The sequence below is a fragment of the Homo sapiens genome, chromosome 4, assembly GCF_000001405.40.
Source record: "Homo sapiens chromosome 4, GRCh38.p14 Primary Assembly".
Taxonomy (NCBI): Eukaryota; Metazoa; Chordata; class Mammalia; order Primates; family Hominidae; genus Homo; species Homo sapiens.
The window spans coordinates 83455071-83475785 of NC_000004.12; the positions used below are offsets into that span (position 1 = coordinate 83455071).

General features: G+C 38.9%; 3 protein-coding genes across 14 annotated transcripts in view, besides 5 other annotated features; 1 reads left to right on the forward strand and 2 right to left on the reverse strand.

The window, feature by feature from the left end:
• The window catches only part of HELQ (helicase, POLQ like), a 48538-nt gene extending 47725 nt beyond the window's left edge, over nt 1-813 (reverse strand). For 5 of the 7 annotated variants that reach the window (NM_001297755.2, NM_001297757.2, NM_133636.5 and 2 more), the window contains exon 1: nt 327-753. In NM_001297755.2, the coding sequence (NP_001284684.2) occupies nt 327-623 (297 nt within the window). In that variant the 5' untranslated portion in view covers nt 624-753. 7 annotated transcript variants of the gene reach the window in all.
• Nucleotides 1-831: an enhancer, noted in NCBI's record as "NANOG-H3K27ac-H3K4me1 hESC enhancer chr4:84376224-84377054 (GRCh37/hg19 assembly coordinates)". NCBI's record gives its function as "activates a minimal SCP1, AML or CMV promoter by ChIP-STARR-seq in naive H9 embryonic stem cells {active_cell/tissue: H9 hESC(naive)}" and the evidence as "EXISTENCE:reporter gene assay evidence [ECO:0000049][PMID:30033119]".
• Nucleotides 1-1040: a biological region, named in NCBI's record as "Sharpr-MPRA regulatory region 5990".
• Nucleotides 260-309: an enhancer, noted in NCBI's record as "active region_21687". NCBI's record gives its function as "activates an Ori minimal core promoter by ATAC-STARR-seq in GM12878 lymphoblastoid cells {active_cell/tissue: GM12878}" and the evidence as "EXISTENCE:reporter gene assay evidence [ECO:0000049][PMID:35858748]".
• Nucleotides 650-759: an enhancer, noted in NCBI's record as "active region_21688". NCBI's record gives its function as "activates an Ori minimal core promoter by ATAC-STARR-seq in GM12878 lymphoblastoid cells {active_cell/tissue: GM12878}" and the evidence as "EXISTENCE:reporter gene assay evidence [ECO:0000049][PMID:35858748]".
• Nucleotides 746-1040: an enhancer, noted in NCBI's record as "tiled region #5990; HepG2 Activating DNase unmatched - State 1:Tss, and K562 Activating DNase unmatched - State 1:Tss". NCBI's record gives its function as "activates a minimal TATA promoter and a strong SV40 promoter by Sharpr-MPRA in HepG2 and K562 cells {active_cell/tissue: HepG2 | K562}" and the evidence as "EXISTENCE:reporter gene assay evidence [ECO:0000049][PMID:27701403]".
• Nucleotides 988-7228, forward strand: MRPS18C (mitochondrial ribosomal protein S18C). 4 transcript variants are annotated; one of them, NM_016067.4, is made up of 6 exons: nt 988-1107; nt 1839-1888; nt 3276-3359; nt 4670-4727; nt 5903-5962; nt 6051-7228. In NM_016067.4, the coding sequence occupies exons 1-6, from the start codon at nt 1008-1010 to the stop codon at nt 6125-6127; spliced, it is 429 nt and encodes a 142-aa protein (NP_057151.1). In that variant the 5' UTR covers nt 988-1007; the 3' UTR covers nt 6128-7228. The 4 variants fall into 4 exon arrangements, with proteins under 4 accessions (NP_057151.1, NP_001284698.1, NP_001284696.1 ...); NM_001297769.2 differs by lacking the exon at nt 4670-4727; NM_001297767.2 differs by lacking the exon at nt 3276-3359.
• ABRAXAS1 (abraxas 1, BRCA1 A complex subunit) overlaps nt 4447-20715 on the reverse strand; it is a 25584-nt gene continuing 9315 nt past the window's right edge. The window contains exons 4-9 of one of the 3 annotated variants that reach the window (NM_139076.3): nt 17152-17218; nt 15133-15326; nt 13962-14081; nt 12384-12468; nt 8424-8538; nt 4447-7832 (exon numbers count right to left, since the gene is read on the reverse strand). In NM_139076.3, coding sequence (NP_620775.2) covers nt 7399-7832; nt 8424-8538; nt 12384-12468; nt 13962-14081; nt 15133-15326; nt 17152-17218 — 1015 coding nt within the window. In that variant the 3' untranslated portion in view covers nt 4447-7398. Of the gene's footprint in view, nt 7833-8423; nt 8539-9589; nt 9726-12383; nt 12469-13961; nt 14082-15132; nt 15327-17151; nt 17219-20715 lie in introns of those variants that run through there. The other 2 variants (XR_001741334.3, NM_001345962.2) reach the window with 2 other exon arrangements.

Below are 20715 nucleotides of genomic sequence, written 5' to 3' on the forward strand. Positions count from 1 at the left end.
TCTAGATAATATAACTAGCTTAACATAACGGGTCTTCAATAAACAGCAGATTTTATTTGTACAGTAGGAGCTGCAGTTATCTGGAAGCCTAGATTTGTGTCTCAGTCATGCCACTTAACTGCTGCGTGCACAACTTTTATGTCTCGGGGTTTACATTTCATATTTATATAGAAATGTAAATAACAAGGCAATCAATACCTCCTAAGTGCCGATTAACAGTGGTAACGAAGACGAGAGAAGTAAACGAAGGCGATAAAACTGGTCAACTCTTTGCATCTGGGAAGGATGCCAAAAGTTTGCAGTTTCAAGTTCCAAGTCCTCCGTACCTGGTCTCCCACCCCTCTGTCAGTGGGCATGTGACGTAGGAGGTCCGGGTTTGTATCACCACCTCCAAGGACGAGACATTCCGGGGAATCTGAGAGTAGAAGGGGCTGTACCTCAACCGGCAGTACGCCCGCGGTTTTCCGCCTCCTGTTCTCAGCCACCATTTCCTCCTCCTCTTTCCCCTCATCTCCGGGCACGAGCTCGGCCGCGGTGGGAGCGCCAAAAATACACCCCAAGCTTGGACGGTTCCTTTTGGGGAGAGACACCCGCCGGCGGATGCGGGAACCACATTCATCCATGGCAAGGACCCAGGGCCCTATTCAGACGTCGTTCTCAGTGACCCAGACGCTAAGCCCATATGGAAGGGAGAGTGGGACGCCGGAGCCCGCTTCTACATCCACCTTGGGAAAAGACCCCAAGTTAGCTCTCAGGGCTCGCGGACCGGAAGCACGCATAAACTTCTACCCTGTCCAATCATAAGCCTCACGTGACCTGCCGCGTAGGGAGGGCACGAACAGAAAGGTGCTGCGCATGCGTATTGAAAAACCTCACCTACTCTCGCGGGTCCTCAGCGTTCTCCTGCGGAACCTTTGAACGGGGTACTCGAGCCCACAGGGGAAGAGCAGCGGAAGGGGCCTTTCGGAACGATTTGGAACGAAAGGAAGTGGAAGAAACGCGGAACCATGGCCGCTGTGGTTGCTGTTTGCGGTGGTCTAGGGAGGAAGAAGTTGACACACTTGGTAACGGCTGCTGTCAGCCTTACACATCCCGGGACTCACACGGGTAAAGTCTCCATATCCTATGCTCCATTGTAGCGCTGCAGGCATTAACCTTAGTCCTAATGGTTAGAGTCGTCCCTGTTAGCAAAACGACTCTGGTTTCTAGGCGATTAAGTTTCTCCAAGATGGGTGGGAATCTGTAATTGCCTTTGACTGTTTTAGTGTCGTCTAATCCACTCCTTTAAAGTATTTAAACGTATGAGGAAGTTGGAGTGGTTCTTAAAAAGCAGAGACTTTCCTAAGATCTCTGGATAATCTTAGTGAGGAAGGGACATTTCCAGAGTCGCCCAGCAGCAAATTCCAGATGTCTAAGGTCCCCAAACAGAACAAAATTGCATAATTTTTGCAATTTTATCTTCTCTGTGCTTCTCTATAAATTCTTTCTGGGACGGGTCTGTTACTTTCTTTTTGGTATGACAGTGCCTTTCTGTTGCTTCTCCTATAAGAATTTGCATTAAGAATTTTCTCTAACCATGGAATGAAGGGAAAATAAATGTCAGAAAGAGCAGGTATGGGCGGGAAAATATGTTCTTTTCCCCCTAAGCCCTGGAAAGCACACCCATGTTGAGTCTTACTCTGTCCCAAATATAAAAGTTTTTAACCATTCTGAATATAATACAAAACCTTTCTTTAATATCGTGTCCCTTAATTCATCCTGTCTCCATAAAAACAAAAATCTTTAGCTATTCAGCTAAGAAAAAGAAATGGTTAATTGCTGTTTCTGTTTAATCGCAGTGCTTTGGAGAAGAGGTTGTTCACAACAGGTATCCAGCAATGAGGACCTGGTAAGAATTTTTTTTTCTATTAGTAAGGCCTTTGCAAATATGACCAAAATGTTTTTCTTTTTAAAACGAGATCTGGTATTAGACTCTAACATCTTTTATTTTAGCTACTTGAATAGAGTTCTGCCGTAGGACAAAACAATTTGATAATTACTCTGAGTTCAGAAATGATGATGAATTGATTGTAGTCATGTAGTCAGCTGAGTTTTGAAGTAGGGGAATTCCTAGATTAGAAGCAAAGCTGCTATAATACCATATTTTTCTTCCTAGATCTTAAATTTAAGGATATGTGATTTGGGAATTGTTTTTTTTTTTTTTACATAGCCCTTTGTAAGCAAATGATATGGGAATTTTAAAAGGTAGTTTGGGTGAGCAGAATTTTAGATAACTGAAAAGAGACTGTACAAAGCTTAGCTATAGGTTGGCTATAGTATTAACATGGACTTTCTGAAAGCACAGGTTCTTGCTACATGCAAAGGTATTTTGACACTAATTAGACCATACAAAGCACTTGGCACAGAGCTGAAGAGTAGTTACGTGAGCTGAATGTAAATTGGAAAGTTTGAGGAATTGGAAAAAACAAAAGAACTTGTCTAGTTTCTCTGAGCATCTGTCTTGGTAATCTAATCCATGCACCATACTTTAAGAAAGTAAAGGGACATTATTTCTTTTTTAGTTCATAAATCCCACTTTGTCTCTAATCAAAGTTATGGACCCTCTCCACAGAAAAAGGCACACAGTCCCATTCATTTGAAGTTTTGCATACGATTACAGGGAGTCATGGGCTTCAAAGCCATTTCTAGATTAAGAACCTCTATCCTGGAGACAGCCATACTGACTGTAGGAAGGAGGCACTGTGACAAAAGCATTAGAGGCAGTGGTGGTAACAGAAAAGCCAAAAAGACTGATACAAACTTATATAGTAGCCTGGGGTGATAAAGTCAAAGAACCTTTTATTACAGTAAGTCATGGGCCATTATCTGTGTATAAAAATAGTGATAAAATACTTGATAGAGACATGGGGATGGATAAATTAGGGATTGTACTCATTTAAGAATGGCATATGTTATCTATTGTGTTGTAAGTTTCCTTAAATCTAAAAATTTTTTCATTATCTACAATCTGAGCAAAGCATTGGAACACTTTCTTATCAGACATCATTTTTGTTCTGCCATAAAATTTTATTCTATGAAGATTGTACTTTATTCCAGAATCTTCCCATGCGTTAATCCGTAGGCTAAACTAAAACAAAATAAAGTGCTTATACAAAATATGTACACAGTAAGAAAGGTATAACTAATCCTTTGAATGGATTTGAATGTAGAATAGTAACCTTTTAAAATTCAGAATTAACACATCCTATTATCAGACTTTTCGTTTTTTTCCCTAGCCCATTTCAATGGAAAATCCTTATAAAGAACCTCTTAAGAAATGTATCTTGTGTGGAAAGCATGTAGATTATAAGAATGTACAGGTGAGATCTGGTTTTACTTCACTATATTTTAGGGTTTTGCTTCTGATAGATCTGCTTAAAGAGAATCAAGTCAGTTTATAGCAGGCTTTTGTAGAGGTAACTGTTTTAGCAACTTCATAATTTCAAATTTGGTTATAATTCTATGTATAAGCTTATCTCTGCTTTATTCAAGTAAAAGCACCTTGGCTTTCCCCCACTTACTGTTATTTCCACTCTGTTTTTTTCACTACCCCAAACATCTTAATAGCTCCCTGTGGCAGTAATTCTCAATTGGTGAGGGTCAGAACTTTGGAAAAAGCTCATCTGGTGAAGCTGATCTCTTTATCTCACCACCCATATCACTGATTCACATATTACTTATCTCTTGTCTAACTCTCAGCAAGTTAGAAGTTGCAAATTTGGGGCAAGTGAATAGCGCTAGAATTCTGTATGTTGGCTGGGTGTGGTGGCTCACGCCTGTAATCCCAGCACTTTGGGAGGCCAAGGCGGGCGGATCACCTGAGGTCAGGAGTTTGAGACCAGCCTGGCCAATGTGGTGAAACCCCGTCTCTATTAAAAATACAAAAATTAGCTGAGTGTGGTGGTGCATGCCTGTAATCCCAGCTACTTGGGAGGCTGAGGCAGGAGATTTGCTTGAACCCAGGAGGCGGAAGTTGCAGTGAGCTGAGATCGTGCCATTGCACTCCAGCCTGGGTGACAAGAGTAAAACTCTGTCAAAAAAAAAAAAAAAAAAAAAAAAGAATTCCATATATTGACAATAGTATAAAGTGATAGCTGCCTTTGAGGAAGAACCAAGAATTACAAAAACACACATACTAGGAAGATTATGCAAAGTGCCAAGAATAATGACTAGCACCTAGAAAGGTTCTAAAGAAGTATTTAAATAAAACATAAATTATAGCAAATGCCTGGTGTACTTGTACCTCTTGAAAATCTCATTACCCCCTGATAATTTATCTTAATGATTATCAGAGGGTAATGTGATAGCTTGTCAGGATAGATGAAATTTTTTAGTAGCTTGTTTCAAGCAATATTTTAGAAAGGTATCTGTGGAAGTCAAGAAAACAGATTTACCATTGAATGAATATGCTGATTAATCTGCTGTTTAATTATATATAGACTTGACACACTGGATAGAAAATATTTAAAAGGTAACAGGAGGATAACAATATTTTTTTCTTATATTTTATGAAATGTGTCTGAAATTTAGTAAAGCTTTATATAACCTGAAGGTTGTTTTTTGAAATTTACACATTCAGAAATAAATAACAGATACTTTTTTTTCCCCTCCACATAAAACTCCAAAACAGCTTTTGTCCCAGTTTGTTTCTCCATTTACTGGATGCATTTATGGAAGGCACATTACAGGTATGTTCTTTTTTATTATGGGAATATAAATGTAGATACGAATTATATCAATCTATTTCTATCATTTAAGAAAACTCAAATTTTCAAATTGTGCTATAAATTACTACTAGATCAGATACTACAGGGACTAGAGCTAGTTACTATGAAAAAGTCTCTTAGGCCAAGAGGATTATTATTTTGCTGTCTTATGCAGAGTTAACTATATAGAAAAACTGGGCTTTAAAAAACTGTTGTTGATGTTTTGGAATATACTATAATCATTCCTAGATTGATACTTAAACTTGGTGTCAGCAAACTATGGCCCATAGGCCAAATTCGACCTGCTCCCTTTTTATCTTGATTAGGTTCATCATATACAAATGCCACTTTTTTTTTTTTTTGAGATGGAATCTCACTGTCACCCAGGCTGGAGTGCTGTGGCACAATCTCGGCTCACTGCAACCTCTGCCTCCTGGGTTCAAGTGATTCTCATGCTTCAGCCTCCCGAATAGCTGGGATTACAGGCATGCACCACCACGCCTGGCTAATTTTTGTATTTTTAGAGATTGGGTTTCTCCATGTTGGCCAGGCTGGTCTTGAATTCCTGACCTCAGGTGATCCACCTGCCTAGGCCTCCCAAAGTGCTGGGATTACAGGTGTGAGCCACTGCACCCAACCCCACTTGTTTTTGTAGTTTTGTTTACGTAGTGCCATATGGTTGTTTTCGAGCTACAACAGCAGAGTTGAGTGGCAGTGATGGAGACTGTATGGCCCACAAAACCTAGATTATTATTGTGGCCCTTGACAAAAATGATTTACCAATCCTTGACTTAAAAACTTGTTGAGGCTGGGCATGTTGGCTCACACCTGTAATCCCAGCACTTTGGGAGGCTGAGGTGGGCAGATCACCTGAGGCCAGGAGTTCAGGACCAGCCTGGCCAATATGGTGAAACCCCGTTTCTACTACAAATACAAAAAAATTATCCGGGTGTGGCGGTGCATGCCTGTAATTCCAGTTACTAAGGAGGCTGAGGCAAGATAATCGATTGAGCCTGGGTGGCGGAGGTTGCAGTGAGGCGAGAGAGCACCACTGTACTCCAGCCTGGGTGACACAGGGAGACTCCATCTCAAAAAAAAAAATTGCAAACTTTAAATATTGACATTTTTTATGAATAAGAAAGCTTTTTATTTTACAGGTCTTTGTGGGAAGAAACAGAAAGAAATCACAAAAGCAATTAAGAGAGCTCAAATAATGGGTAAGAAAGAATACCTCAACAACTGAATTGAGCTAGCTGAAATTTTGCTCATTATGTTTTGTCAAGAACTTTAATTATCTCTTTACAGGGTTTATGCCAGTTACATACAAGGATCCTGCATATCTCAAGGACCCTAAAGTTTGTAACATCAGATATCGGGAATAAATTCTATCACGTTACCACTAATAAACTTATTTTACAGTAAGTGGTTGTATGATGCCAATACTGACTCAAACCAACCTTTGGATAGAAAAGTGTTTGAGGAGTGAGGTAAAGAATGACACTTCCCCTTCATACCAATGTCCATTAAGCAGATTGCTTATTTAAAATGTTAACACTCATCACATTTTATCTATGTTGAATAAAAGTGGTTCTGTGTGATTGTCATTTATATCTGATCCCCAAATAGCTCATACAATAATCCATTCAATAGAATGGAATTAAAACTGTTCAGAATGATTTTCCAACTAGCAAATATAAGTATGCCTGGTTAAGATATCTTCCCTTTGTAGAAATGTTACATTGGGATGGATAGTGGTGCTGTCACAGAAGGACAAAATATTCCTAGACGAGTCTACCCTCAAACCAGTAGTGTCTTTTACATGAAGAGATGATTTACACCTAATAGACATTGAATATGATAGACATACATGTATATATGTATCAGTTCTGAGTTCCACTGGCCTATCCCAAATACACTGGATTACCAGGCTTGTACTGTATTCAAAATGATAGATTTGCTAAATTTCATGCAAAGGACTCTAAACTAGGGGAGAGATTACTGTTTGTGTTGTGTTATAGTTGTGTAATAATTAAGGCTGCCAGATTTAGCAAGTACAAATGTAGGACAAATTTAAATTTTAGATGATGTTTTGCAAATTTATTGCATGATATCCAGCATTTTATCTGGCAACTCTAGCCATAATGTACTTCTAAAAAAGTATCACTTAAGGAGAATTTTAATGACTCAGATAAATTTTCATATAAATTTCTTTCCATATTTTGAAAATAAGGCTATTCTTGCTTTTCCATTTTATTTTTTAATAGACATGGTCTCAATACGTTGCCCAGGCTGGTCTCTAACTCCTAACTTCAATCAATCCTCCTGACTTGTCTTCCCTAAGTGCTGGGATTACAGGTGTGAGCCACTGTGCCTGGTCTCACTTTTCCAATTCTAAAGAATGTGTCTGTGTAAGCCTTCCCCTCAACAACTTAGTGAAAGGTGAAAAAAAGGTTTGGAAATAAAAGCATCTGATGTTTGAAAAAGTACTTTGTGAAGTAAATGCACTAAGAGTTATCTGTGTATTACTGCAAACAGGTGAACATAGTAAAAACAAATGAACTTACTGCAAGTAGCTCAACATAGTAAAAACAATAGAAATGTTTGGCTTTACCCATCAGCCAAATAAAAAAATCTCCTTGTAAGGTTAAAAGGATCAAAATGTAGGAGACCGTGAATATTCACCAAAACCCTTCATCTTTTCAATTTCTTCATCTGTTTCTGGGCTGCTCATTTTGGATGCTTTATCTTGGTTACTACTACCAGTATCTGCTTTAGATCGTTTGTCTTGTGTATCTAACAACCGAGATCTCTTGAATTGCCATCTGTCATCTAAGTCTAAGGCTTTATGCTTAATGATTTGTGGTGTACTAGCTGGACTAGCTTCAGGAATGTCAGTGTGTTCTACCATTAAGGTCAGATTGTCTACTACATCGAGATGGTGGTTGTAGTTACAGCTACTTTTAGAAACATGTCTATTTTTTAAAGACATAACACATGAATGAAGAAATTCAGAATTTGGAAAAAAGGTCCGTAATGCCTGACAAAGAAAAATGTTCTCCTGAGGGTCTTTTTGGATGTTCTTCTCTCCTAAACAAAATAGAATAACAGTTCAACATATAACATTTCTTCTACAAAGCTTTTATAATTAACTATTTGTAAGTAAAATTAAGTCAAAAAGATTTTAACAGTTGTATTATCTAAAGTGAGGATAACATACATAATTCTGAATTCTAATTTATATGCCACAGTATTCTAAGACAAAATTAAAGTTGTGTTCTTTCATGTCAGCAATATAGCTACCATAGTATTATGTTCTTTAAAAGCACAGAAAGGGCCGAGCGCAGTGGCTCACACCTATAATCCCAGCACTTTGGGAGGCTGAGGCGGGTGGATCACTTGAGGTCAGAAGTTCAAGACCAGCCTGGCCAACATGGTGAAACCCTGTCTCTATTAAAAATACAAAAAAAATTAGCCAGGCATGGTGGCAGGCACCTGGAATCCCAGCGTTTCAGGAGGCTGAGGCAGGAGAATCGCTTGACCCCAGGAGGCAGAGGTTGCAGTAAGCTGAGATCACACCTTTGCACTCCAACCTAGGCGACAGAGCGAGACTCCGTCTCAAAAATAAATAAATAAATAAAAATTTTTAGCACAGAAAGTAGAGATGTGTTGTTTACTTACTTGCTGCCTGAATCTGTGCTCCTCTCCTTTTCTCAATTTCTCGTTTTAATCTGTTTACATCCTTTACTAGTTTATCTACTGCTTGTTCACTGTCTTCCACTTTTTTGCATATACTCTGCAAAATAAAGTAATTTAAGGGCATAGGTAATATTTCAAGCTGTGTACTAATACAGTCTAGATTCACAAATAATATAAAATCATTGGTGGTATATAATACCCAAAACTATTTGCCTTTTATATAAATTTTATTTATTTTCTGGAGGATGTCAGTAACAAGCACTTGTAGGTTATAAATAAGCCTTATAGGTTGTAAAATGCTTTTTCACATGTAACTTCTCATTTATACAGCTTTTATCATGCCAGTTAGTTCGCTGAAAATATACAGAAATAAACTGAAATATTAACTCATGGGCCAGCTGCGGTGGCTCACGCCTGTAATCCCAGCACTTTGGGAGGCTGAGGTGGGTAGACTACCTGAGCTCAGGAGTTCGAGACCAGCCTGGGCAACATGGTGAAACCCTGTCTCTACTAAAAATATAAAAAATTATCCAGGTGTGGTGATGCATGCCTGTAGTCCCAGCTACTCAGGAGACTGAGGCAGGTGAATCGCTTGAACCCAGGAAGCAGAGGTTGCAGTGAGCCAAAATTGCACCACTGCACTCCAGCCTGGGCGACAGAGTGAGACCCTGTCTCAAACAAAAACAAACAAAAAAACTTTGAAACAAAAAAAATACAGATGCAGAGTTACTGCATAAATTTAACACTAAGAAACTCACAGTAAGTGAAACAAAGTGACTATCTTACTATTACGAAAGGATACTATTGAAGATTTTTTCCTGTAAGAGAAACTACTTTTGAAAAGCAGATCACTTCTGTGTGTCTTTAGTTTTAAAAGTATGAATACCAGTAACTTTTGATGCCATAATTCCATTTGGGAATATATCTGAATAACAACAAAAATATAAGATGATGTTTCTTAGTATAACATAAAACAACTGGGGGAGGGGAGAACAACTAATTAGTAAAAAAAGCAACTAATTTCCAACTGTAGGGTAATAGTTGTTTTGCCAGTTTTAGTGGACACTTTTTAGGATGTCTGCCAAGCCTACTTTTTACAAACTTTTTTTGCCCTGACATAAGAGTTTGCCAGTTACCCCTGTACCCACCTTTCACCAGAGCTGACCCAAACAGAACCAATGAGATTCTTGCCTGGCAATCTGGAGGTATTACATAGCCAATTGGCAGATCTTATGCTCTAGAAGAGATCTAAATGCAGGAGCTGTGGGTTGGCTGTTTTCTGGCCTGCCAGTGGATGAAGAAACAAAAAGGTCTGGAAGGATAGCAATGTGCAGACACAGAAAGTTCTATGGCATTCTAGCTCCTGGTTCCAATTCCTTCCTAAAGTTCAGCTGCTTTCTGCCTACAGTTCTTATGATATACCTCTACATTCCCTATTTTAGCCCAAGTTGGTATTTTTCCATAACATTCTCTATGAAATATACTGCCATTAAAAATAAAGAGGCCGGGCAAGGTGGCTCACACCTGTGATCCCAGCACTTTGGGAGGCTGAGGCAGGTAGATAACCTGAGGTCTTGGGTTCGAGACCAACCTGGCCAACATGGCGAAACCCTGTCTCTACTTAAAATACAAAAATTAGCCTGGCGTAGTGGTGGGTGCGTGTAATCTCAGCTACTTGGGAGGCTGAGACAAGAGAATCTCTTGAACCAGGGAGGCGGAGGTTACAGTGAGCCAAGATCATGCCATTCATTGCACTCCAGTCCAGGCGACACACTGAGACTCTGTCTCAAAAAAAAAAAAAAAAAAAAGAAGAAACTAAAAACAACTAAAGAATATGTAGCAACAGAAACAATGTTTTATGTACCAAGTTTTTTAAAAATCATGACAAATTTATGTCACCATGACTATTGACTATATCAAAGTATACATATATTAAGGAAAAACTGGAGCAAATGGCAGAGTGAAAATAGTTATGTTAAAATGGTGAGATTCCAGGCTGGATGTGGTGGCTCACACCTGTAATCCCAGTACTTTGGGAGGCCAAGGAAGGTGGATTGCTTGAGCGCAGGGGATGGAGACCAGCCTGGCAACATGGTGAAATCCTGTCTTTACACAAAATACAAAAAATTAGCTGGGTGTAGTGGTGCACACCTGTGGTTTCAGCTACTCTGGAGGCTGAAAGAGGAGGATCACTTGAGCCCAAGAGGTGGTGGTTGTAGTGAGCTGAGATCATGCCATTGCTCTCCAGCCTGGGTAACAGAGCAAGACACTGTCTCTAAAAAATAAGATGGTGAGATTCTGGATGTTTTTACCATCTAAAATTCCCGTTTCATATGAAAAAGTAGTGTAATATGAATCAAAATATTTATTTTAACTGCTTTTCTGTTAGTGTGCTCTACTGATGAGTGTGGTGGCCATGGAAATATACTCCTTAGTAAGATCTCCAACTGGGGGAAGCATAGTTGACTTAACAGCCCCAGCTTTGGACCTACCACTGTGTTAAGCCACACTTCCCCTGGGCTGTTCCTAGCCAATGACTAAGCACACTGCAGGTATTAGTGCAAGTCCATGCCTATAGAACAATTTTCGGGCAACTTTGCTCAAAGACTCCCTATCAGCCTAGTGGAACGTTCTTAAAATGGCGCTGCAGTCTGAGACTCTTCCTAACCACTTGTCTTCTTATCCCCCTCTCCTTTCTCAGGGGTCAGACTTGCAGTGTTGTCTGAAGGCTCTTCCTGCCTGTTCTTTCTTCCTCTTCTTTATCCTTCTCAGGCCCAATAAATCTCCTGCACTTATAATCCCATCTTGACATCTAGTTCTAAAAGGACCTGAACTGACACATGAAGAAGAACTGACACATGAAGTAGAGGGAAGTATACTGTTCCCAAATATACTTCCCTCTATTCTGTAAGAAGGATTATATATCCCTGCCTATTACCATGTGATGTGTTCAGGCCAGTGAAATGTGAGTAGAAGTGACATGGCCGTTTTAAGCAAAGTTTTAAGAGCTGTTGTGAATTTCCACTAGTTTTTTTTTTTTTTGAGACGGAGTCTCGTTCTGTTGCCCAGGCTGGAGTGCAGTGGCACGATCTTGGCTCACTGCAAGCTCCATCTCCTGGGTTCACGCCATTCTCCTGCCTCAGCCACCCGAGTAGCTGGGACTACAGGCGCCCACCACCATGCCCGGCTAATTTTTTTTGTATTTTTAGTAGAGACGGGGTTTCACTGTGTTAGCCAGGATGGTCTCGATCTCCTGATCTCGTGATCCGCCCACCTCGGCCTCCCAAAGTGCTGGGATTACAGGCGTGAGCCACTGCGCCTGGCTCCACTAGCTTTCTTGCTCTTTGCCTTATGCCATGAGGACATGTCCCAAATAAGGGCTGCTCCTTCAGCCTGGATCCTGGATGAAGATGACATTCAGAAAAGGAGTAGAGCTACAGCCAAGATAAAATGTGAGCAAGACTAAACCATAGTTGTTGTAAGCCACTGAGATTGCAATCTTTGTTAACTACAGCTGAAGAAATACAACTCAGTCAATGAAGCTAAAGGAATAATGACATCTCGTTCAACAAGGGACAGCATCTATGATGGGGTCTCACAAGATTATATTGGAGCACATATAGAAAGCTGATATATAGCACTTGATATTGGCATTACAGATCAAATAGGGGAAATGACTGATATTCAATAATAATTTGGGGACATTTGGTTTTCCCTATGAAAACTAAAAAGTAAAAATACATATAGGTTTGTGTAAGTATATGTTTGCACAATGATAAAACTGCCTAATGACACATTTCTCAGAAGGTACATAGCCTTCATTAAGCAACTCATAACTGTATAAATCTAATCAAGATGTCAGGTTATCCTAAAAAATGTCAGTCATTAACTTGATATGAACTCTATCTAGAAGTGGTTGACGTGTTTGATATGTTAACTTACCTTTAATTCCTCTTGTAATGAAGCATACATTTCATTTATCTTATGTACCTCCTTTAAGGATCCATCTTCTTCAAAAAATTTAGAGCTGTAAAAAATTACCATTTCCTCAGGCAAATACACAAAACCATTTTAATGATAAGGTGAAAAACTTATTCATTGTCAAGGACCAATAGAAGAGTCTTTTTACTGGTTTTGTAGGAACCATAATTTTGTCAATCTATGTGTATAGAGAAAAACCAACCACAAAACCTACTTCATTGATCTTCACATTAGCAAACTTTTTAGCCTCCTAAGTACTATTGCCAGGTCTCCCAAAAAGGCGAGGATGGGCGGGGGATGGGGGAAGATTGCATAAAAATAGATAAAAATTGAAGGAAGGAAAAAAAGTCTCTATTGGCAATGGGAACCGGAGTCAATTTTTAAAATATTTTACTGAATTCAAGTTACCTTTACTTGAAAGAGACATCATTATTTTATGATCCATAAAATAATGAAGAAAGTAATTCTAAGAAGGCATGACTTGTAGGACATCCCAATGTCAGAGATAAATATGAAAAATGTGCATCTTGCCGGGCGCGGTGGCTCACGCCTGTAATCCCAACACTTTGGGAGGCTGAGGCAGGCGGATCACCTGAGGTCGGGAGTTTGAGACCAGCCTGACCAACATGGAGAAACCCCGTCTCTACTAAAAAAAATACAAAATTAGCCGGGCATGGTGGTGCATGCCTGTAATCCCAGCTACTCAGGAGGCTGAAGCAGGAGAATCACTTGAACCTGGGAAGGACAGGTTGCAGTGAGCTGAAATCATGCCATTACACCCCGGCCTGGACAACAAGAGTGAAACTCTGTCTTTAAAAGAAAAAAAAAAAAAAAAAGGAAAATGTGCACCTCAGAATCAATGAAATACGGTATTCAGTTTTTAAACTGCTGGCACTGTGGGGACACAAAAGTAAGTAAAATCTAACCCCTTATTCTCAAAGTTTACACTCTAGTAGGTATCCTATAGTACCAGTGTTGCTGTTTTTGACATTACTTCCTTACTTAATGGCCACAAAGAAAGTTATATATAAGCAGCCTATAGTATGAGTGAGTCTTGGCTAAAGTCTGATTTTTACAAATATCTAATTTCACGCCTTTAATCCGAACCATTGCCTTAGAAAATTATAATTTTTAGGCTATATACTTATTCTAACCTAGAATAGATATGCTAAACTTTACAGGATATGCAACAAGATCCTCCCAGTACTATTTTTTTAAATTTTCTTTTGTAGAGATGGGGTTTTGCTGTGTTGCCCAGGCTAGTCTCCAACTCCTCAGCTCAAGTGATCCTCCTGCCTCAGCCTCCCGAAGTGCTGGGATTTGCAGGTGTGAGCCACCATGCCTGGACTAACCACTACCTTTTTTGTATCTTGTAAGTACACAAGCAGTAACAGGAGTATGAGGAAGGTAAAAACAGCCTAGTTTACTTGAGTAATGGATTAATTTTCCCTTGAATTTTTATTCTGCTGTTGTTTGAGAAATAAGAAAATTAATTTCAAAGATGAATAGAAGTTTTGTGAGAAAGCAGTTGAATCTTACCTGTGTGTTTGTACTGCTCGGCTAAAACCAGTGGACATACAGGAACCTGATACAGTTTTATAACCCAGTTGTTCAGACATGCCCAGATTGGCAACCACTAAAGGTACCCTGTGAAAAAGTCTGACAAAATAAAACTTTAGAGTATAAACTTAGAATGAAAAGAAAGATTAGTATCTACCTGCTGGAATAGATTACTTGTCCCCTACAAGATTTAAAAAAATACACCCCCCAAAACCCATTCTTTACTACTTATCCAAAATAGAATTTACTGACTTGAAACAACTGTTTTTTTTTTTTTTTGAGACAGGGTCTCACTCAGTCTCCCAGGCTGCAGTGCAGTGGTGCGATCATGGCTCAATAATGCAGCTTCAACCTCCCGTGCTCAAGCAATCCTCTTGCCTCAGCCTCCCAAGTAGCTGGGACTACAGGCACCCATCACCACACCCGACTAATTTTTAAGTTTTTTGTAGAGATGAGGTCTCCTAATGTTGCTCAGTGATCCTCCTGCCTTGGCCTCCCAAAGTGCTGGGATTACAGGTATGAGTCACCACACTGGGCCCAGATGACATGTAAAGCTGTGAAATGTGCTTAGTATAATAGTGTGGAAAAACAGTTTAATGGCTCTTTTGATTAGTACATGTATAAATAAGGCAGTATTGAGATTTACCCTATCTTCCATGAACAATAAAATTATTCTTAGTTGGTACTCTTTTAACGTAATTCTCATATTCCACGAAAATGTAGTTTACTATATATAAAACCTGTAAGGAGTCCCTGGTTAGACTCATTTTACTGGACCATCAAGAGCTACTTTGTTTCTTTGTTCAGTTATAGAAAAACTGCTGAAGTATCTAGGCTTAAATTCTAAATTCTAAATTATACCCTTTATCAATCAATTAAAAAAAAAGTTTTTTTCCACCTTAAGTAGTAAATAAGAGCAAATCTTCAGTGCCAGAATACAAGTCATCATTCCACACTGGGCTTCTAATTTCCTTGTCTGACCATTATTTTCCCACCTATAAATTAACAGATGGTAAGATCTACTTCTGAAGGTTATCGTGACAATCTGATGCGACAATATATGAGAACACTTTGTAAGCTGCAAAAAGTACTAAGTATTAGATATATTTTTCTATTAGTTTAATACAGCCAGTGACTGGCCAACATTTACCCTTTTTGAGGTTTATATAAGGAATGTTCCAGTCGATGAGTAGAGCAGCTTTCTGTTATTATACTTGGTGTTAATAGCAGAAAAACAAGGTCTTGGTTTGAAAAATGCTCCTGCAAGTTTTTGTGAAGCAGCCTCTCTCTAAACGTCATGATCTGATCTGAATGACGACGGAATTTGTACCAACCTACCACATTCTGAAATACAGAATAAAAAGGATATACATCTTAATAGTTACAATGATATGTCTTACTATTATAATTAAATAAAATAAACAACCTTAAAATGGCTTTCTTAATATTTAGAAAGATTTGGGGCATATATAAACAAAGAATACATTTAATCATATGCTTTACTTTTGTAAAACATACAAACTGACTTACTTTCCATTCATTTGAAAGGGTACGGTTTTCATCAATATAGATTAAAAGGGAGAAATAAATTCTTGACTTTCTGTAGTTTCTTTTATGGCATTTGCTATCTTGCAATCTCACTCTTTAGTCAAAATTTAAATGAAAAAAATATCAATGCCATTGATTCACTTAAAAGGCAATCCCTCCCTGAAAATAAATTAATCGCCTGTATGGACACTTGGTTTGTTAAATAAGTTAAGCTGAACCCTACAGCTTTTACCTAAAATTTTTATGGGAATGATATCACCTACCCGACAAACTTGGCTTCAAGATTAAGATCACATTAAAGGATTTTGTAAACTACAACATACTAAGCAAATGTGTTAATACTACTAGACCTTTTTTTAACTTGGAAAATAATTCTCCTTTACTTAAGACAAAGAGAAAACCAATCACTTTGCTTAGAGATCTGTGAGTTTCAGCAACTAAATTATATATTTGCACATTTGAATTGAGGAAATTAAAATTAGTTTTTAAAAATAAGGCATTTTTACAGGTGCAATTTTAAATACTCAAATAATAATTGGGGGGAAAAAACACAAGCATTTTCAGCCAAACATATTTGTTGAAAGAAACATCTTTTTTTTTTTTTTTTTTTTTTTTTTTTTTTTGAGACAGTCTGGCTCTGTTGCCCAGGCTGGAGTGCAATGGCACGATCTCAGCTCATTGCAACCTCTGCCTCCCGGGTTCAAGTGATTCTCCTGCCTCTGCCTCCTGAGTAGCTCAGATTACAGGCATGCGCCACTACGCCCGGCTTTTTTTTTTTCTTCTGTTTTTAGTAGAGATGGGGTTTCACCGTGTTGGTCAGGCTGGTCTCGAACTCCTGACCTCGTGATCCGCCCTCCGCAGCCTACCAAAGTACTGGGATTAAAGGCATGAGCCACTGTGCCCAGCCAAGAAACATCTTTCAATTAATCTATTTTTATTTTCAAATCAAAGTTTTAAGAGAAAAAGTAGTGCCTTGAAAAAATTTTGTGTTTGGGGAAAAAATCCATTTTGATCATTCAACAACTTTTAACCAAACACAAAGTATGTTATAGAGGATCCAAATTCAGTGCTATATAGGAAACATCCCTGCAGTATCTATCAAAAATAATAACTGAGGCCAGGCATGGTGTGTGGTGGCGGGTGCCTATAATCCCAGCTATTCAGGAGGCTGAGGCAGGAGAATCGCTTGAACCCAGGAGGTGCACGATGTAGTCAGCCTAGATCACACCACTGCACTCCAGCCTGGGTGACAGAGCAAGACTCCGTCTCAAAAAAAACAAAACAAAAAAAACCAAAACACTACAGCCAAGTAAAATAACAGAACTGATTAGGTCACAGAATAAATGGTAGTGGGAAGAGGTGTGGTGGAAATATAAGAGAAAGAGATAAATGTTAATTAGTCAAAGAAAGGATTAGAACAAAATTAATATTTTTAATTACTAGTTTTATTTTCAGAGCAACCACTTTCAATTTCTGGGAAGAACAAACCTTTTCTTACTTACTTTACAGGATACTATGATGTCAAACACTGCTTAAAAATTCTGTCAAAGTACTGTGTGTTTTTAAGAACCAAAAACAATGCAAATAATACCAAAAAAAGGGAAGATAAATTAGAGAATACCTTTTTGACATTTGATAATATTTTCTTCAGTGCTTGCTCATTTACTTCGCCTGAAGAATTATAAAAGCTGTAAAAGCCAAAATTAAAGGTATTTCAAATACGCTAAAAATATAAGTAATTTTATTAGTATTTTAAATTTTAGTTATTCCTAACCCAACTACCAAAGCCCATATACCTATTTGCCTGTCAGATGAAGTCCTAAAATAAACAGTAGAGAAAGTTCTCAAATTAACTGACTTAAAGTGGTAGAAACATAAAGTCCATAAAGCAATGAAAAGGAAAAAGGAGTAACTTAAGAGACAAGTTTTGGGAATCGTTTTTTTTGAACCTAAAACAGTAAACTATCCATGAAATACAGGTATTAAAATGTAAGTTCACATAACCGGTTCACAATTCATTCAGTTTACTCATTTATATTTTTTATAACATTGATACATACAAAAGAATGTATAACCAGTAATGAAGCACAATAACAAAAAGACTATTATTCACTGCTAGTTACAAAAGCTATGTATTTTAGGAGGTGGCTGGGTTTTTTGGGGTGGGGGAAGGGAATAGGTTTTGTTTGGTTTAGAACAGTTTGTTCAGGAGTTGGAATATCCAAAATGTAGGAAGAATTAAAAGATAATTCCAAGTGATTCTACTTCCAGCTTTCTTTCCCTTCCAATAACAGAGACTGCAAATAATATTTTCTTCTTTTTACCACTCATTAAGATCAACAATATTTTCTATGATGGTTAAATATGTTATACAAAATCCTTTATAAATAATTTTTGCCAGGGCATGGTGGCTCATACTTGTAATCCCAGCATTTTGGGAGGCTGAGGGGGGTGGATGGCTCGAGCCCAGAAGTTTGAGACCAACCTGCGCAATGTGGCAAAACCCTGTCTACATAAAAAATACAAAAATTAGCTGGGGTGTGGTGGTGTGTGCCTGTAGTCCCAGTTTCTAGAGAGAGCGAGGTGGGAGGATCACTTGAGCCTGGGAGGCAGAATTTGCAGTGAGATGAGATGGCACTACTGCACTCCAGGCTGGGCAACAGAGCAGTCTCTGTCATCTATTTATATTTCCAATATTTGTCTACTTACAGTTCCAATATGAAAATACAAGAAATTCTTCTCTAAAGACAAGAATTTATTCCTATATTTCCCTAGAATGGTCCACTTCTGAGCTCAAATCGGAGCATAAAGCAGTATATTAGGGTAAGATTAGTAACAGGATAACTGCACATCATCTCTGGAAGCACTAGGTTTATGTGAAGTTTCTGGGGAGAAGATGAAGGGGGTGGCATTTTATGTAGAAACTGATATAACATGCAGAATTCATGTCAAACTGCATAATTTTTTTTGAGACACGGTCTCGCTCTGTGGTTCACTATAGCCTTGACCTCTGCCCTCAAGCAATCCTTTCACCTCACCCTCCCTAGTAATGGGGACTACAGGCATGCCAACACACCCAGCTGTTTTGTATTTTTTGTAAAGAGGGAGTTTCGCCATGTTACCAGGCTGGTCTCCAACTCCCTGAGCTCAAGTGATCCACCCACCTCACCTCCCAAAGTGCTGGAATTATAGGCGTGAGCCACCATGACCCACCTGCATAATTTTTTAAAAAGTGACTTTAAGTTTCAGAAGCCGGGCACAGTGGCTCACGCCTTAATCCCAGCACTTTGGGAGGCTGAGGTGGGTGGATCACTTGAGGTCAGGAGATTGAAACCAGCCTGGCCAACGTGGCAAAACCCCATCTCTACTAAAAATACACCAACAAAAAAAAATTAGCCAGGCGTGGTGGTGCAGGCCTGTGGTCCCAACTACTCATGAGGCTGAGGTGGGAGAATCGCTTGAACCTGGGAGTTGGGAAGCTGCAGTGAACTGAGATCACACCACTGCACTCCAGCCTGGGCAACAGAGTGAGACCTTGTCTAAAAAATAAATAAATAAATAAATAAATAAATAAATAAATAAAATCTCTATCTATCCATCCACACACTAAGTTTCAGTAGGCTATTTCCCAGGTACTTCCTCCACATTTCTGAGGTAACCAAATCAGTGTATTTCAGTGGAAGTCTGCATCCTAATGTATTTAGTGCAGGGTTAACAAACTTTCTGTAAAGGCTTGTATAGAAAATATTTCAGGCTTTGATGGCCACATCCAGTCTCTATTGCATATTTTTCCTCCTTTTCTTACAACCCTTTAAAAATGTAGTAAACAAGGCCAGGCGTGGGTGTCTCACACCTGTAATCCTAGCACTCTGGGAGGCCACAGTGGGTGGATCACGAGGTCAAGAGATCAAGACCATCCTGGCCAACATGGTGAAACTTCATCTCTACTAAAAATACAAAAAAAATCAGCCGGGCTTGGTGGCACCCATCTGGAGTCCCAGCTACTTGGAGGCTGAGGCAGAAGAATTGCTTGGACCTGGGAGGCAGAGGTTGCAGTGAGCCGAGATTGCGCCACTGCACTCCAGCCTGACAACAGAGCAAGACTCTGTCTCAAAAAAAAAAAAAAAAAGTAGTAAACAGTCTCAGATCGAGGGCCACATAAAAACTACATCGTGGGGCTCTATTTTAGCAACCCCTGTAATTAGAGCAGGAAGAGGAAGAAACTGCATAGTATGATGCTGGATTAGAGCTCAAGAAATCCTTATTCTTCTCATTTTTGCCCTACCATTAACTAGATCTGTGGTCTTGGTTAAATCATGAACTTTTCAGGCCTATTATTGTGTTGTTTAATGAAGTATGTAGTTACCCTCTGAATGAGAGGTATTTCACATGTCTCTCCTAATGCCTTTCCACCCCGCTTTAATCCTGTAAGAGCTAAAAGGCTCAGGCATTGGTTTCTCATCACTGAAATAGATGGTTTCTTCAGGTCTCAGCTTCTATTAAGTTAGTCTAATTATTAATGTGGTTGAAAAAGGTACTGAATCACTTTTTGCTGTTCCTTTAAATCCTTTGTTGGTCCAGAAGATCCTTCAATAAAGTCCTTTTTATGAGTCTCCACTAAGAATTCCTCAGTCATCTAACAAATATTTTTGTATGTCCATTACACATAAGGCAGTATAGGAACTGTGCCTTTTCTTGGTATAGCAGTTTAAAAGACCACACTAAGCTCCTTTTTTCTGTTCTCCTCCTACAGTTAGTTCTCACCTTAACCATATGCTCCACTGTAATTCTTATATAACTTTAAAGATGTGTATAGTACATAGTCTGTAAGATAGTTATGCTGATTTTTCTTTTCCTTTTTTTGGAGACAGGGTCTTGCTCTGTCACCCAGGTCATGCAGTGGCATGACCTCAGCTCACTTCAGCCTCTTTCTCCTGAGCTCAAGTGATCCTCCTGCCTCAGCCTCCCCAGTAGCTGAGACTACAGAAGCATGCCATCACTCCTGGCTAATTTTTGTATTTTTAGTGGAGACAGTGTTTCACCATGTTGCCCAGGCTGTTTGTGCTGATTTTTCTTGCGTGGTTTATATAAATCATAAAACTATTTCATTAAAATTACACCATGCTATGGTTACATGATTACATGTGTTTGCTTTATGAAAATTCATTTATTTGTGTACTTTTCT

Bases quoted from the DNA above. Each gene is read 5' to 3' on its own strand.
- MRPS18C (NM_016067.4), top strand. From the start codon at position 1,008: ATGGCCGCTGTGGTTGCTGTTTGCGGTGGTCTAGGGAGGAAGAAGTTG. The intron at 1,108-1,838 runs GTAAAGTCTCCA...GTTTAATCGCAG, and splicing joins ACATCCCGGGACTCACACGG to TGCTTTGGAGAAGAGGTTGT. The intron at 3,360-4,669 runs GTGAGATCTGGT...ACTCCAAAACAG, and splicing joins TAGATTATAAGAATGTACAG to CTTTTGTCCCAGTTTGTTTC.